At 43.8% G+C, this 18,535-nt stretch overlaps 1 long non-coding RNA gene across 1 annotated transcript in view; it reads left to right on the forward strand.

Annotated features, from left to right (window-relative positions):
- Positions 1-14,087, forward strand: part of LOC105372542 (uncharacterized) — a 29,065-nt gene extending 14,978 nt beyond the window's left edge. Inside the window, exons 2-4 of the long non-coding RNA XR_937286.3 lie at positions 4,972-5,105; positions 5,186-5,335; positions 12,749-14,087. This is a non-coding gene — a long non-coding RNA (uncharacterized LOC105372542). The remainder of the gene's footprint in view (positions 1-4,971; positions 5,106-5,185; positions 5,336-12,748) is intronic.
- Positions 14,088-18,535: the final 4,448 nt, after the last annotated feature.

Below are 18,535 nucleotides of genomic sequence, written 5' to 3' on the forward strand. Positions count from 1 at the left end.
TTTTGGCTTCTGATGATTATTCCCGTCTTTGAAAGAGGAAGCCCTAACAGAAAGGGCCAATAGCCCATTTTCATGCCCACTGCTCTGCCCTGACTCTAAGGGCACACCAGCATGCTTGTTAAGACTCCTCACAACATCCCTTAGGCCACAAATAGCTCCTTGTTTGTGAGTTGCTCTTTCTGGATACTTAGCCATATTTTAATCTTTTGTATTCAGCCCTGGGATGGTTCAGCCTTCAGCTTTTGTCACTGTCTTCTTTCCCCGACTCTAGATGGCTTGAAGGAGACTTCTCAGTCATTTTATATAAAATGGCTCACATCTGTAATCCCAGCACTTTCAGAGGCCGAGGTGGGCAGAACATGAGGTCAGGAGTTCGACCTGACCAACATAGTGAAACTCTGTCTCTACTAAAAATACAAAAATTAGCCGGGCATGGTGGTGCGCACCTGTAATCCCAGCTCCTCAGGAGACTGAGGCAGGAGAATCACTTGAACCCGGGAGGCGGAGGTTGCAGTGAGCCGAGATTGCACCACTGCATTCCAGCCTGGGCGACAGAATGAGATTCCATCTCAAAAAAAAAAAAAAAAAAAGAAAAAGAAAAAAAGAAAAAAAGAAAAATCTAGGCGATTTCAAGGGAGTGTTTTCTAATACAGTAGTGGACTTTCCCTTAACATAGTATTCTGCAGTCAAAGATATTTGGAATTGCTGTTTAGAATAAACTTTTTTTTTGGATTGTAAAACATGCAAAATCTTTAATAAATTAATATTGAGAAATAAAATTCTAAAGGCCCCCAACTGACTGAATGAATGCCATCTTGGCCAAGAAGACTCCGGAGAAACCTTGGAAGTTGAATTCCCAGCCCTGATGGGATGGAAGGTCAGGCGACGACTCATTATACCCCTCCGCTCCCTGTCATTAGGCATTCTTCCTAAGGGCTAACCAGAAACCAGCCCTTCCAAAAGACTCCATTGCTGATTTCAACCAACTGCCTGACTGCTGCCTTTTCCTTTTGTGGTTTCCATGTAGGGACTGACCTGCATTCCTTCCAGAAAAGAGACCACCAATCATGGAGTGGTTTTGGCCATTCTGCTGAGTATGTGCAGGGAGGATTTTCATGTCCTCTACTTCACCTTTTGTGGTGAGAGTATCAAAAACTTCATGTTTCAGATTGTGCTAATGCTGCCTGCCCCTCCCCCCTTTTTTTGAGATGGGGGTCTCACTCTATTGCCCAGGATCGAGTACAGTGGTGCAATCTCAGCTTACTGTAGCCTCCACCTTTCAGGTTCAAGCCATCCTACCACATCAGCCTCTTGAGTAGCTGGGACTACAGGCGCAGGTCACCACATCTGGCTACTTTTTGTATTTTTTGTAGGCCCAGACTGGTCTTGAACTTGTGGGCTCAAATGATCTGCCCACCTTGGCCTCCCAAAGTGCTAGGATTACAGGTGTGAGCCACCATGCTCAGCCTGGGCATGGGATCCACTGAGAGGCATGAAGCTCAATTGCACATATGCATATTTCTCCCTTCATAAATATTAATGACTCCTCCTCCAGCTTATTGAATTTCAGTGTGTTGGCCACCCTGCTGAGCATAAATCACTATCTCATTTTTCCCACCATGGAAGTGTCTGTTTCTGGCTTCTGGGTGGAGACCACACTTCCCGGCCTATCAGAATGGCCACCCTGCAGGCTGCAACCCTTTATGAGAGATAAATCTCACCTTTCCAAATTTATGAACCTCATCATTCTTCAGTTGACAATATGCACTGTAAATCTGCCAAAGATTAAACTATAATTTATAATAATTCATACACACACATGTAAAATGAGAGATAGCACACATCAGAGGACAGTTTTCATTGAACACTACTTGGGAGATGAAGTTCTAAACAATGGAATACGCCAAAACTGTTAAAAAATATGCAATGGGCTTATACCTGATTTCTTAGAAGACTGTTTATGCTATATTAGGTAGAAATACAAATTGCTAAAAAATATGTATGTTATTTTCATTAGAAAAATAGCAGGTGGGCAAATGTAAATACATGAATGTAATTATGCCTCATAGGCATAGAAAGAAGCTGGAGTTCTGTCTATTACAGTATTACAGTGGAATTATGACTCCCCTTGCAGTGGGAGGGTGTATTAGTTTATTCTCACTTTGCTATTAAAAAAAACCTGAGACTAGGTAATTTATAAAGAAAAGAGGTTTAATTGGCTCAATGTTCCTCAGGCTGTACAGGAAGCATGATGCTGGCATCTGCTCGTCTTCTGGGGAGACCTCAGGAAGCTTACAAACGTGATGGAAGGCAAAGGGGAGGCGAACACTTCACATGGCTGGAGAAGGAGCAAGAGAGAGGGGGAGGAGCCACACACTTTTCTTTTTTTTTATTTTTTTGAGACAGAGTCTCGCTCTGTTGCCCATGCTGGAGTGCAGTGGCACGATCTTGGCTCACTGAAGCCTCCGCCGCCTGAGTTCAAGCGAGTCTCCTGCCTTAGCCTCCCAAGTAGCTGGGACTACAGACACGTGCCACCATGCCAGGCTAATTTTTTGTATTTTTAGTAGAGACAGGGTTTTACCGTGTTAGCCAGGGTGGTCTCAAACTCCTGACCTCATGATCTGCCCGCCTCGGCCTCCCCAAATCCTGGGATTACAGGTGTGAGCCACCGCGCCTGGCTGCCACACACTTTTAAACAACCAGATCTCATGAGAACTCACTCACCTCACTATACAGGACCAAGGAGGGATGGTGCTACATCATTCATGAGAACTCCATCCCCGTGATCCAATCACCTCCCACCAGGCCCCACCTCCAACACTGGGGATTAAACCTGGACATGAGATTTGGGCAGGGACACAGATCCAAACCATATCGAAGGGGTGAATTGAGTGGTGGGAGAAAGGAGATAATTTATTTTATAGAAATTTTAAACTAGCGGAATTATGATTTTACTTAACTTTTTGAGGGCTTCCTGTATTTTTTAAAAGTAGAAATCTTACAAATCTCAAGGAACATGTCTAGTAGAAGTCCTTGCTCACTGTACCTTTAAGCTTCTGCTAATATAAAGGATTTAGGCGAATTGAAAAAAATATATGAACCCAGTGTTGGAGCTTTGGGCCTTATTTTTATCATGAGGAATGTTTGTCTGTCACTTAAATTTGACCATTAGCGTTAGTTTCCTGAGAGAAAAAATATCTACCTCTCTCAGCTTTCCAATTTTGGGCAAGAATGTTCGCTGGAGATAAATACGTAAGGGAATAAATGAAGAATAGGTGCTCATGGTTGACATCTAATTGCTACAGAGTTGGGGAGTAGAAAAATGAGAATGTCTATGAGGAATTGCTTTCTTCTTCCTCCACCTTCCTACCTCACATCAGCCGAAATGGGACAAGTTGTTGGTTTTCTCTCTTAACTGTACCAGGGAGATATTTTAATAATTCTTTGTTGGCAAGCTCCTGGTACCTCCAATATCTTTCCCCTATCAGCCAATTTTGTGTCCATTGTTCATAGAATTGTTGCTGTCTTTCAAGAAATGGGAAAACTGTTACAGTTAAGTAATAAAGAGATAATGCTGGGTAACAGATGTATGTGGAACAAAGAGCTAGAAAGATTTCATGCTATCCAGTGAGTTATGACTATAATAATGTTTTCTATTTGAAACAAAGAAAACTGGTGGCAGGTTCTGTCACAGACTTTTACTCGCTTACTTGTCTTTCTGCTATGAGGTGTCTGGTTCCTGTCTCCCGTCATGACAGTGAGGCTGAAGGTTTAGGTGGGTTGGGGTGGTGTCTTATGTTGAATTGGACCCCAAGGAAACAAAACCTGAGACAAGGATTTGAAAGTACCATCAGGGGAGTGGGCAAGTAAGATAAGAAGGAAGAAAATCAATCCAAGGTGTGTTAATGTTGCTTCCCCAGAGGCAACTGGCACTCAGTCCTGCTGGGGTCATCTGGGAGACTGTGTCCTCAGAGTTGATATGTCCAAGAGGGGAAACTGAGGCATTTATCCTCCAACTCTCATTTCTCTTTGGCTTAAGGCTGCTCCTGGAGCATCCCTAGCACTGACTGACAGTCCTGTGGGTTGGCTGAGCACTCCAGAGAAAGCCCTTAGAGGCCCCTAGGTGCTTGTAATGCGTGCCTAGAAAAGGGGAGTGTTAAGGAGGTCTGGACAGGGCGTGGGCAGCATCTTTCCTAGGTCAAATACATAAAGATGTGATGCTTTCACCTGGGCGCAAAAGTTGGACTAGCCTGTCTTCCTGTTAATATTGGAATAGAGCTTGGAGAAAGGGGGTTAAAAATAAGGGGGTTAAAAACAGGAGGCAAAAGAGAGATAGAAAAGGGGTAAAGAAATGTGGGAGAAGGAAAAAGAGACAGCATAAGGTAGAGAAAGCTGCAAGTGGCAGACCGTATCAGCAAAGTGTCTGGGTTTTTTGTTTTTTTGAGACAGTCTTACTCTGTCACCCAGGCTGGAGGGGTGGAGTGCAGTGGTGTGATGTTGGCTTGGCTCACAGCGACTTCCGCCTACCGGCTTCAAGCGATTCTCCCGCCTCAGCCTCCAGAATAGCTGGCGCCTACCACCATGCTGGCTAATTTTTTTTTTGCAGTTTTAGTAGAGATGGGGTTTCACTAAGTTGGCCAGGCTGATAGCAAAGTGTCTTTGTACTGGAGGTCAATGGCATTGTCTACATTTGTGCTTATTCACAAGATAATGCAAATAGGTGGAGACACAATGGAGTGAAGACAATGCTTGCAATAGAAGTAGTTGCTGCCATTTAAAAAGAACTGGGCCCCATGTAGGTTGTTTCACAAAGATTAAGTAACTGTAATTTTCATAAGGGCCATGCAACTTAGGTATCATTGCCCTATTTTGCAGATGAGCACATGGAGGTGTAGAGAAGTTAAGTGATTTGTAAGCTGCCACTTGTGAGTATCAGAATCAGCTCCAAAATCCATGTTTTTCCCCCTACAGAATGTTACACAACTCAGAATCATCAAGAAGAAAAACCAAAACTGAACTTGGAGTAAGGGCAGACATTGGCTGAGTATCCTCGACATTATATTTCTGGCTTTGACACAAGGACGTGACCAGTGTGATTTGGCAAGGTGGGTTCAGTTGGTATCAATTCCCGGGCCACCAAGGATGGAAGCACTTTGCACAGAATCAGGCTTGTTTTGCCTTCCAGGATGCCATACACTGTGGCCTACACCTCAGTTTCCTGTACAGAGCCCAGCTCCCCGAGGACTGCAAACCCCGAGGACAGCTGATGATCTCATTCTTGGTGTGGCGAACATCCTTGCTATTCTCATTATGGAAGCAACCTCACCAGCAGTAGGTGATGACTGCAACTAACTGTTTAGGGGGGCACCTATACTCTTAGGAATAACTGATCTTTTAGGGTAGGTTCCCTGAAAGCAGAGCCTGATAAGAAATTCTTGTGTAAGTTACTCAGTGGGAGAAAGTGCCCAGAAGACTCCTGTAATGGAGTGAGGGAAGGAGGACATGCAGGGGAAAAAGCTAGGCGAGGATGAGGTCTCAGCTGGAGACTAGCTTCAGCTTTATCACACAGGAAGCTCCAGAGCATGAATTGCACTTGAATGAGGGCCAGTTTGAGGCAATGGGGCTGACCATTTTTACATCCATGCTAATTGGTTTCTGACCAAGGTCTGCCCCATGGTGGGTGGGAACTTTGTGTGTGAAGGACTCCTATTTGATCAAAGGTAATTTCTTGGAGGGGCCACTGGAGGACAGCAAGCTTGGGGGTGCACTGGCCAGTAAAGGCCATTTGGGTAGGGCACTAAGAGCATCTACTTCAATTGGATGACAATTCATTTCCAGTGAGGATGGGGAGCAAGGTCCTGTGTGAATGTAAGAAAGACTACTGGCTGGGCGCAGTGGCTCAAGCCTGTAATCCCAACATTTTGGGAGGCCAAGGCGGGTGGATCATGAGGTCAGGAGTTCAAGACCAGCCTGGCCAAGATGGTGAAACTCTGTCTGTACTAAAAATACAAAAATTAGCCAGGTGCAGTGGCGGGCGCCTGTAATCCCAGCTACTCTGGAGGCTGAGGTAGGAGAATTGCTTGAACTCGGGTGGCAGAGGTTGCAGTGGGCAGAGGTTGCAGTGAGCAGAGATCATGCCACTACACTTCAGCCTGGGCGACAGAGTGAGACTCCATTCCAAAAAAAGAAGAAAGATTACTAAGCCAGAAGACATATTGGCTATAAAGTTAGTAAAAAACCTGCAAGAGCAATCACTGGAGCTGCATAATGAAGTCAAATCAATACATGTATAAAGATTGCTATGTGACTATCTGTACAAGTAATAGGCAAGAGGTAACTAGACTTTCATCTTTGCTCTGAAGTGAGACCTGCGCTTTTTGGACATTTTTTCAGGAACTAGGGAGGACCCAGGAGTGACGTGACCACACGAGTCACTGACTTTTTCAAATAAATTTGGCTAACAAGATTTGTTGGGCTAACAACTCTGTGTAGGACGCCTTCCAGGCAACTCAAATGAGCTAATCCTGCCCATCTCATAGAGTGATCCAGGGATGTCAGGAGAGCACACGGAATATTTTCCATACCTGAGAAGACAGCCAGCATCTCAGTGTCATAGCAAGCAATGCTGTGCTAGCTTCATTGCTCTATCTGATACCTGGAGGAGACGACTTCTTAAAACAGTCCTGAATCTGATCCCAATATCCAACTTAATACACTCACCAAGACCTCTACGTAGCTTGCTTTATACTTTTCTTATTTAGCTTCAGCTCTTTAAGGACAAGAGCCTTGCCTAGCTGAGTACCTGACCCTCAACAAATGTTTATTTAGCAAATGAATGAGAGCTGAGTATATGCCTCTGATGGCTATATAAGTTCTCTGCTCAAACCCATCTACACTGTGACTTCTGACGCTGAGCCCCACACCCTTCATGGTTCCCTTGTCAGGTGCCTTCCTGGTACATTATACCACTAGGAGATTCCAAGGGAGATTGGAAGACTGGAAGTGGGGCAGAGGGATGGGGAGAGACTTTATCACTCTTGTTTTGCTGCTGTCCTGATCAGCATGGCTCCAGCAGTAGCACTTTCCCTGGTGGCACCATCTGGCTCTCCTTTTCAGCTTCTGTCTCCCAGGACCACCCCCATATCCCCATAGAAGGACCAGCAGCAGCTAGGTGATACATCCTCTTCATCGTTCTATCTCCATGGGGCTTGTCCTAGGTTTTAGATTCTATCAGAACTCAAATTTCTTCCCTTTGTTCGCCTAGCCATTAGGGTGGAAGCTACTTCCTGCAGTTACTACCTTAGCATTTCCTTTTTGCTTTTCTCCAGTATCTATGCAATTATATTCTCTTTGTTCAAATACCTTAGGTGCCTTTGGTTTTTTGACTGGCCGCTGACTCTTTTCCATTATCTTTTAGCAAAACTGTGATGTAGACATTGCTATCTCCATTTTGCAGATGGGGAAAGTAGTGCAAAGAATTGTTGAGGAGTGTCCTCAAATTTACACATCTAGGACATCTTAGAAAAGGTGATATGCTTTAGTCCAAGAGACTGCATTGGAATCCTGCCCTCATTATTTATATCGTTCTATAGTTTTTAATTTACATGCAGCAAAATTCACCCATTCTATTGTATGGTTCTATGAGTTTAGACAAACACATAAAGTGGCATAATCTCCACCACAATCAAGATATGGAATGGTTCCAACAGTTTAGAAAAATCATGCTGTTCCATTACAGTCAATTCTTCCCCTACCCCCAGATCTTGACAACCACTGATCATTTTCTGTTCTTAAAATTTTGTCTTTTCCAGAATGTCGTATAAATATAACTTTTTGAGTCTATCTTCTTTCATTTAGCACAATTTATATGAAATTCATCCATGTTTTTGCATGAAAAGTCCATTCTTTGTTGCTGAATGATATTCCTTTACATGGATGCACCATAGTTTTCCCATTCACCAACTGGGAGAAATTTGGGTTGTTTCCAGTTTTTGGTGATTATGAATAAAGCAGCTACAGAAATTCACATATGGTTTTTGTGTGAATATAAGCTTTTGTTTTCTTGGGCAAGTACATAGAAGTGGGAATTCTGCATCATACAGTAACTGTATATTTAACTTTATAAGAAGTGACAAAATTGTTCCAAGGGGCTGCATCATCGTGCATTCCTACCAACAGTATATGAGAGTTCTAGTTGCTCCACAACCTTGTCAGCACTTGGCACTTTCAGTTTTTGTTTATAGTCATTTCAACAGGTGTATCATGATGTGGAATATTGTTAAAACATCTGGAAGAGACTTTCGGTCACATAAGTTCATCTTGAAAGACTGTATAATGTTGTTGTTAAGGAATTCAGACACTGCAGCCAGCTTTGGTGCTCACTACCTTTATGAACATGGACCTCAGTTTTCTCATCTGTAAAATGAGGATAATAATAGGACATCTATCTTAAAAGGTTGTTATGAAGATTAAATTAGTTAATATATGTAAAGCACTGATAGAGAATAAGTAGCACCTAACTGCTAATTATTATTGCTGTTATTTTTCTCAGCTCTGGCCCATCCTGCTTAGCTACATGATGCCAAAATTTGCAGAAAGACAAAGTTGAGAGGACACTTCTTGGATTCCAAACAATAAATCTTAAAGTCTTTTAGTTTGCATCTTCTATCTTTTTTTTTTTTTTTTTTGAGATGGAGTTTTGAGCCCACGCTGGAGTGTAATGGTGTGATCTCAGCTCACCACAACCTCCGCCTCCCAGGTTCAAGCAATTCTCCTGTCAGCCTCCCGAGTAGCTGGGATTACAGGCATGTGCCACCATGCCTGGCTAATTTTGTATTTTTAGTAGAGGTGGGGTTTCTCTATGTTGGTAAGGCTGGTCTCGAACTCCTGACCTCAGGTGACCCGCCCACCTCGGCCTCTCAAAGTGCTGGGATTACAGGCGTGAGCCACCACGCCTGGTCACATCTTCTATCTTTTCAAATCACTGCACCATAGATTTGTCTTAAAGCCATTTCATATATAATGCAATGCCCATCCTTACTTTGCAAAAGTCCAATTTTAAAGACAACATTTGAACTTCAGTGATTAAAGACAGCTTTTGAATTGTTATAGATTCCCATCTCCATCCAAACAATATGCTTTTAATAGGAACACAGCTTGTGATTTATACCACTTCACTCTGCTCTGCAGTGTGGTCTGCATCATCAACATTAAGATGAAATTACCCTGCAATCACAAACATGGAACTCATACTTGTAGTAATTGCACAAAGAAAAACCTCATTATCCTGCAATATGCACTTCAAAAACAAACATACAACCTTTTCTCCCTCTAGTGGCACATTTAAAAAGCAACCTCAACTATCACAGAGGCCAGTTTTGCCTATTACAATCGAGAGAAACAAATAGTTTACACTTGGGAGATTCATAGTATTTGTTTATCGTCGATTGTAGTAAAAATTTTGCAGTTTGTTTATGTAAAATGATATTGCTGACAAGATAACAGGCTAGATCATAGCCATAGGAATTCTGTGGTTTATCCTCACTTGGCGCTTTATTTTTCATCAAAAACAATAAAGGGAAATCTACAAGCACTAGGTAGTCAGCTGTTCCGATTCCTGGTTACCTCTTGGAAGAATGACACCACTTCCAGTTCCTCGCCCTTGCCCTTTATGTGTTTATGGGCTCTAGAGCTGAACAATAATGCCTTACTGCAGAGGTTGAATAGTGCGCCAAAATTTATGTCTACCTGGATCCTCAGAATGTGACCTTATTTGGAAATAGGGTCTTTGCTGAAGCAATTAGTTAAGTTGAGGTCATACTGGATTAGGTGGGCCCTAAATCAAATAACTTGTATCCTTATAAGAAGAGAGAACATACAAGATGAAAAACACACAAGGAAAAAATCCATGTGGAGATGGAAGCAGAGATTGGAGTCACTTATCTTTTTTTTTTTTTTTTTTGAGACAGAGTCTTGGTCTGTTGCTCAGCCTGAAGTGCAGTGGCATGATCTTGGCTCACTGCAACCTTCACCTCCTGGGTTCAAGTGATTCTTCTGCCTCAACCTCCTGAGTAGCTGGGCCTACAGGCACATGCCACCATGCCTGGCTCATGTTTGTGTTTTTTGTAGATGGGGTTTCACCATGTTGGCCAGGCTGGTCTCGAACTCCTGACCTCAAGTGATCCTCACGCCTTGGCCTCCCAAAGTGCTGGAATTATAGTTGTGAGCCACCGCGCCCTGCCCTGTAGTGCTATATCTACAAGCCAAAGGATGCCAAGTGTTGCCCATAACCACAGAACCTGGGAGAGGGGCATGACTAGACTCTCTCTCTGAGTCTCCAGAAGGAACCAACTTTGGCAGCACCTTGATTTTGGACTTCTGGCCTGTTGCACTGTGTGAGAATAAATTTCTGTTGTTTTAAACCACCCAGTTTGTGGTAATTTGTTATAATAGCCCTAAGAAACTAATATACTTACTCCAATGGATAAAAACAACAATGACCATGATTTCAAAAATTTTGTGTAAATTAACTCATTTAATTGTCACCATAACACTGACATAGCTACTATTATTATACTCACTTTACAGATGAGTAAAACTGAGTTTCAGAGAAGTTGGGTAACTTGCCTAAGGGTGTATAATTTGATATTATTTAGGTGTGGCAGCCATATGTTCTCTCATGCCTTCCAAGTGCCTGAGATTGTCATATATTTTCTGTTTTCTTTTCAATTGAGCCTCCACCTCTGAGGCTTAATTCATCTTCCCACCTCAGCCTCCCAAGTAGCTGGGACAACAGGCACATGCCACTGCACCTGACTAATTTTTTTATTTTTTGTAGAGATGGGGTTTCACCATATTGCCCAGGCTGGTCTTGAACTCCTGTGCTCAAGCTGTCCACCTACCTCAGTTTTCCAAAATGCTGGAATTACAGGAATGAGCCACTGCGCCCAGTCTTCTCTGTTTTCTTTACGTGTTTGCTAGTTTAAAATTTTGCTTTATTGAAGAATAAATTTAAACTACTTAACAGTTTAAGATACAGTAAACTACTCAAATCTTAAATGTACAATGTGATAAATTTTTACACGTGTAGATATCCGTGTAACCACCCCTGGAAGACCTGCCACGACTCTTCTTAGAGAGTATGATTTCCAGGCTTTTTAATATTATAATATCACACAAACTAATATAGGTTCTTTTCTTTCTTTTTTTTGGGATGGAGTCTCACTCTGTCGCCCAGGCTGGAGTGCAGTGGGGCGATCTCGGCTCACTGCAAGCTCCGCCTCCCGGGTTCACACCATTCTCCTGCCTCAGCCTCCCGAGTAGCTGGGACTACAGGCACCCGCCACCATGCCCGGCTAATTGTTTTCTGTATTTTTAGTAGAGATGGGGTTTCACCGTGTTAGCCAGGATGATCTCGAACTCCCAACCTCAGATGATCCGCCCGCCTATGCCTCCCAAAGTGCTGGGATTACAGGCAGGAGCCACCGTGCCTGGCCGTAATATAGGTTCTTTATAAGACTTTCGAACATTATAAAGCTACGACAATGGAAAATTTCTCCCTCACATTATCCCTTATTCCTCCACCAAGGGTTAATCATTGTTAATGCATAGAGTGTGTGTCCTTCCGGACCTTTTCTATGTTATGTTTGTATTCATGTCTGTGGATACACACATAAAACTTGTATAAGCATATGTGTTTTTTTGTTTGTTTGTTTGTTTTGAGACGGAGTCTCGCTCTTTCACCCAGGCGGGACTGCAGTGGCGCTATCTCGGCTCACTGCAAGCTCCGTCTCCCGGGTTCACGCCATTCTCCTGCCTCAGCCTCCTGAGTAGCTGGGACTACAGGCTCCCGCCACCGCGCCCGGCTAATTTTTTGTATTTTTAGTAGAGACGGGGTTTCACCGTGTTAGCCAGGATGGTCTCGATCTCCTGACCTCATGATCCGCCCGCCTCAGCCTCCCAAAGTGCTGGGATTACAGGCGTGAGCCACTGCGCCCGGCCAGCATAAGTGTTTTTGCACACGCGTATTCAAGCATATGCACACACATGCACACACAGAAACACACAGTTTTTCTAATGTGGTATAATTTAATAAATATCATTCTGAAGTTTGCTACATTTTCATTTAAGAAAAAAGTTCTGCCTTTTAGAATGTTCAGGATAGAGCTCTACCTGGAAAGAGCAGTACTTTTCCTGCTATCAGTCATTTCTACTTTAGTGTGAAAGAAGTTTCCAAATGAAGAAAGGTGGAACAGACATTCCTGCTGGGCCCACTCCACTCCATTCTTCCTCCCGGTAGTCTTATTGCAGCAGGTAGCGAAGCAAAAGCTCACATTTAGCAGACTCCGTGCAGCTCAGGAGCCACATTTCTTCCCAGCAGACAGCTGTGGGATGTGGAAGGTGGCAGTGAATGAGAGACTGTTCTGCTCCTGGTTGTGGCCAATTGTGCTTTGTCTGTAGCTGTGGAGCAGAGGTCTCCCGCTCTCCAAAGGCAGCGTATGAGAAATCCATTTATCTGATGAGTTCCTGCAGCTCAGGCTGTGACATGGCTTCCCGGCCCCAGATCGTTACAGAGGCTGTGTGGCCTGGGAGCCAGGAGAAGGGTATGTGGCTTCCTGATGGTGGCCAAGACGCGGGGTGGTGTTCTGGGAGTCACCCCCGGGAACTCTGTCCAGAGCCCGGCTGCTGTGCTCCAGTGGTTTTGCAAGACCCTACTTTCCTGTAGTAAATCCCTTTCTGTTTAACATAGGGTGGCTCTGACATCTGCGATTAAACTGCTACTGAATCAGGAAAAAAGGAAGCAGGACAGAGGAAGGCAACGACTGGAAAGTTCTACTTCGGGACAACATCTCTGAATTATTCACATACATTAATGGAAACGAATCATTCTGACTCATTAATCAATGCTGAAATGAACGATAAGCAACCGAGGATGACCTAAAACATTTATATTTGGCTTATATCATGTTAGAACTTCTAATTTAACAGAGATGTTTCATGCCCTGGAAGTTCATACTGCTGCTGGGAAATCACAAAGCTACGTTGGGAGCGTGTGACATCCTCTTTCCCAACTCTTCTCACTGAGCATCTCCCTGGAGGAGGCCAAAGTCATCTCTCAGACTAAGCTCAGAGCTCAGTGAAGCTGTAGGGACATTGGCAACAACTGCAGCATCATAGGCATGGCTTGAATGAGAGCTGTGATTGTTAGTGATGTCCAGGTATGTGTCTGCCATCTCAGAGTGACCCTGAGAAAGGCATTCATTTGGAAGCTTTTCTCCCCGCACTCTATTCTAAGTGACCCATTGCTCAGTGCCTATTGCCCAGTGGACATTATGAAGTCCTGGAGGCTGCCAGTCTCCTCACTGTGACTGGAGTCATGGCTCCAGGCTCTGCCGGCTTCATGCACCTGGGGAGAGTGACCAGCAGCACTGCCCAGAGTCCCGTGCTGGCCCTGCAGGAACAAAGGCCTTGCAGGATACGCAGTCGTCGTGACATGCTGATGGCAGATTATGTGCTATTTGCACTTTTTTTTCTCTCTCTTTCATGTAGGGATGCCCAGGTTGGTCGGGACATTTCTGATGCTCCACCTCCATCCCTCAGTGCTCGCTAGTCTGGGCCTGCAAGCAGTGTTATTGAACAAAACTGGGGTTCGCTAACCCAGCGCAGTTAAATCCAAACATCCACACTGAGGTTTGCAATGGGAGAAAGGAGAGCATTTATTGGCAAGGCGCCAAGCAAGGAGAATTAGGCAGCTCCCATTTAAGATCTGACCTCCCCTGTGACTTGGAAGTAAGGGTATTTAAAGGCAGAGGGAAATTTCAGGAAAGCAGAAGTTACAGGCAAAGTCATAAATCAATACATGGAGGTTGTACTTCAGTTTGACCGAAAAAGGTGGGGTATCTTGAAGTGGGAGCTTATAGGTCATAGGTAGATTCAAAGATTTTTTGATTTTCAATTGGTTAAGGAGGCAAAGCTTTGTCTAGACATGCGAGGTCAGCGGAAAAGAATGTAAGCTCTGGCCTGTGGCGTGACCTCCTCCAGGCCCCTCAGGAAGAAATCTAGAACAAAGAGCAGTGGTTCCAGTTCAGTCCTCAGTTCCCCTCAGGGTCTGCAGGCCAGCAGATCCATCTGATGGGGGTCTGGGTTTCTGAAAAACACCTTGGGAACATACGTTAAGATGTTATCTTTAGCTTCTATAGGGAACAAAACATCTCATGACTCTAACCTCCCTGGTTATTGTTTTAAGCTACTATTTCCTTCTTGCTTATCAGGTTACTCATTTACTTCTCAGGGCTACCTATGTTCTTTTCCCTTGAAGGAACTTGAGATTTTCCTTTATTTCTATGCTTAGGGGGATCTTGCAGGCCCCTACCAGGGGTCCCTGCTCTGTCTCAATGTCTTCCTACTTTCTATGACGAGTCTCTTGGACTCTCTTCCTGAGGCCTCTCTGTGGTGTTAGGAACAGGCCTGGCCTACTTGCATGGCAGAGGGGAATGTGTGGAGGAGTTGGTGCCCCAGGAGTAGCCCACAGCCAGTGGATACCCCAGCTTCCTTGGCCCTGAAAGGAGAAGTCTCTAATGTGTGTCCCACAAAATCTCCCAGAGTTTGCCAGTAGTTTTAAGCCCCATTTGCCCATGTCTGTAACCTGCTCATTAATTCACCCATCCTTTAATGCTACAAGTCTGGCTGAAGTGGGAGAGATCATGGAATAAATATTGAAACTTCATCCTTCGTTTGAATGTTTATAAATATAAATAGTTATATTGCATCATAAAAGTGTTGAATAGAAGTCATTACTGAGAAGTAATCTTACGGATTTTTAAAAATCTTTAAGATGTTTGAACTGGAAGGCATCTTAGCATTATTAGCCCCTGTTTTAATTTATGAGAAAACTGAGTATCTTTTGAGTTTTTTAGGGAGGAAAAAGGCTTTCCTCTATACTCTTAGGTTTGGTGCCTGAGGACTGTAAATTGAATGGACAAAGATACATTAATAGGAGAAGAAGTACAACTTTTATTGATGCTAAGATTTTACGTGCATGGGAGCTTCTCAGAAAAGAAATGAAAACACGAACAAGAGGTTAGACTTGGGGGCTTACATAACATTTTAACAAGGAGTGATAAATTGTGGAAAAACAACTACACAAAAAATGAGAATTGAGGGTTTTTACGGGTGATAAATTGTGGGAAGGTGACTAGGAAACATATGGAGAAAACTAATGGAAGATCAGGGCTATTTATTTATTTTAATAGAGATGGAGTCTCACTATGTTGCCCAGGCTGGTCTCGAACTCCTGGGCTCAAGAAGTCTGCCCATCTCAGCCTCTCAAAGTGTTGAGACTACAGGTGTGAGCCACGGTGCCCAGGACAATAAGGATTATTTCAGTAAGGTCTGTTTATGCACACTAATCTTTGTGTGACTTTCCATTTCTGGTAATAAAAGTCAGTGTCCTTTTCCTGGTACAGAAGAGCACCTTCCTCAAAGGAAAATTTGGTACAGAAGAGCACCTTCCTCAAAGGAAAATTTATGCTCTGCTTTGGGGCAGATAAGGGAAGGCAGAGAAATTTTCCTGCATTTGTTGTTTCTCAATTGCCTTCAGTTTAAAATAATACTCATGCCAAAGTTACATATTTTGGGGTGGCATATTCTGATCCCCTTTACATTCTAAGAGAACACATGAGGATCCAAAAAGGAATGAGTTATGTAATGGGTAATCCTGACATATAGAACATTTGATTCAAACCTCAGAATTAAGAAGCAGAGGGGAAAACTAATGACCTTGAACTGAGAGTACAGAACACAAAAACCAGAGGTGTGTCAGGGATTTCTACATTGTATGCCATGGAAGAGAAATCAGAAACTCTGAATGTTAAAGTCAAAAGGGAAGGCAGAAAGCCTTCCCCTTCAACTTGTCAGCTTTAATGATAAAGAAATACGGGTGTAGAAAAGTTAAGTGATTTGTCCACCATGACATAGATAGATAGATAGGTAGGTAGGTAGCTAGATAGATAGATAGATAGATAGATAGATAGATAGATAGATAGATAGATGGAATAAATGATTATAGGGCAAGATACCAGTTGGAAGGAACAGAAATCTCAACTCAGAGTGGCTTAAACAGTAAGAAGATTGCTATTTCTTAGAAGTTGCTGGAGAATAGCATCAGGGTGATTAATTCAGTGATTCCACAAGGTCATCAAGGATCACATTCCACCCTTTTTCAGCTGCTCAGACCTCCACAAATCTTAAGATTAACTCCTTTATGGCTCTCAAATGGCTCCCTAGTTCCATGTGTTGTTTGCACTTGGGTATCTGTCCAACAGAAAGAAATAAAGCTATTTACTCTGAGGTTATTTCCTTTTGTCAGTAAGACACTGACAAAAGACTCCACCCAGACTTCTCTCCCACTTTATTAACCAAGATTACACAGATCACACATTTTATCGACTAACATTAAGAAAACCACTGACTAGGAGATTCCCCTCCTTTCTACCCTTTTGGGCTGGAGAGACTGTCGCCTGCCCTGTCTGCGTGATTGCACAGTAAGGTAATACACAGAGGAGGGTAAATACAGGAAGGGATTAGATTAGGAACCAATGTGGTCTGTCTGGAACCCAGCATCCAGGAACTCTTGGGACCCAAACCAGGTTTGCTGCAGAATTTGGAGACATGTCCAGTAAAGGTTGTTGAAAATTAAGAATGATGGTATGGATGATGAGGGTGAGATGCTCCTTAAATTACTGTAAGAGATCAAGGCTGTCACCTAGACTCTCATCAATAAAGTGTTGACTTCATAATAGAAGATGAATCACATTCTTGGAGACTGTAAGGAGTCCATGAGTAGGGGCTGTTTGTGGCCAAGAATAATGCAAATTAAAAATGAGAGTAGAAATTCTTCCAGGCTTCCCCTGTATGAAAGAGAGAGGGGTGCTTACTTTATCTCACTACAATTTTGTTCATGGAAAGAGACCTTTTTGTGGCAGAGTAACTCTGCTAGATTCTGCCACATGCAGAATAGATGATCACACAAGGCCTCCTGTGTTCCTTTGCACTGGTGTTCTGCCTCTCTGCAATGACTGAAAGCAACACTTTACTGATTACTTTGGCTTTCTAACTACCTTTGTCCTAGGAAAGAGGTGTCTTGGATGAAGAATTTGAGTACTTTGAATACTGAAAAGACATTTCCTCTGCTGCAGATTTATAACCTGGCATCATTCTAATGTACAGATTAGTCTTCGACGGGGTGGGTCTGTGTATTAGTCCCTCTGATCAGAACTGGAAAATGAACAATTTTAATACTGGATGTGCGACGACGAGGCCCAGACCACAAGCGCATGTTGTCCATGCCAAGGGATGACTTTGGAGGCCCTGTCTGGGCTATCAGCTGGCCAACCCAGGAACCCAGCTATCTCCCCTCCCTTCACCTACTGTCTAGTTATCACTGCATCTCAAGTCAGGGCTCTGTGAGCTGACACATATCAAACCCGATGAGCTGCTCATGGGGAGGTTTCCTGATTCCCTCCTGCCAGCTCCCCTGTAGTCCTTCAGCCAGCTTCAGACTCTCAATTCCCCAGCCTTCCCCTTGGGCTGTGCAGACTTGGAGATTGATGAATGCACTGGGCCACAGGAAGCTGCACAGAGTTCTGGCCTCCTGGAGGACATCAATTTGGCTCCCCCTTTTCCCTTTAGTGGTAATTGAATGTCAGGATAACAGATGAAGGGTGGGGAGAATAAACCACATTCTCACTTTCCACAAGTGGGGGGAAAGGCTTTGTGGAGAAAGGAAGGGTTAAAATGTTAAGACCTCAAGACTTAAATTTCAGTTAAGTTTGGTGTTTGTTGTTGTTATTAGTTTGGAGAGAATTTGGCAAGAAAATGCAAGTACATCCTAATTTCTCAACTATATGGTGACTAAAAAATTTCTTTATAAAACTGGATATTGGACCTGGCGTGGTGGCTCATGCTTGTAATCCCAGCACTTTGAGAGGCCGAGGCGGGCAGATCGCCTGAGGTCAGGAGTTCGGGACCAGCCTGGCCAACATGGCAAAAACCCGTCTCTCCTAAATAATACGAAAATTAGGGGGGACATGGTGGCACTTGCCTGTAATCCCAGCTACTCGGGAGACTGAGGCAGGAGAATCGCTTGAACCCGTGAGGTGGAGGTTGCAGTGAGCTGAGATCACACCACTGCACTCCAGCCTGGGTGACAGAGCAAGACTCCATCTCAAACAGATAAAAAATAAAATAAAATAAAATAACTTGATATTGGCCAGGCGCCATGGCTCACACCTGTCATCCAAGCACTTTGGGAGGCTGAGGTGAACCCATCACTTGAGCCTAGGAATTTATACCAGCCTCGGCAACATGGCAAAACCCTGTTTCTAGAAAAAATACAAAAATAAGCTGGGTGTGGTGGTGCACACCTGTAGTCCCAGCTACTCTGGAAGCTGAGGTGAGAGGATGGCTTCAGCCCAAAAGGTGGAGGCTGCAGTGAGCCGGGATCACGCCACTGCACTGCAGCGTGGGTGACAGAGGA

The sequence above is a fragment of the Homo sapiens genome, chromosome 20 (assembly GCF_000001405.40).
Source record: "Homo sapiens chromosome 20, GRCh38.p14 Primary Assembly".
In the NCBI taxonomy this organism is placed as follows: domain Eukaryota; kingdom Metazoa; phylum Chordata; class Mammalia; order Primates; family Hominidae; genus Homo; species Homo sapiens.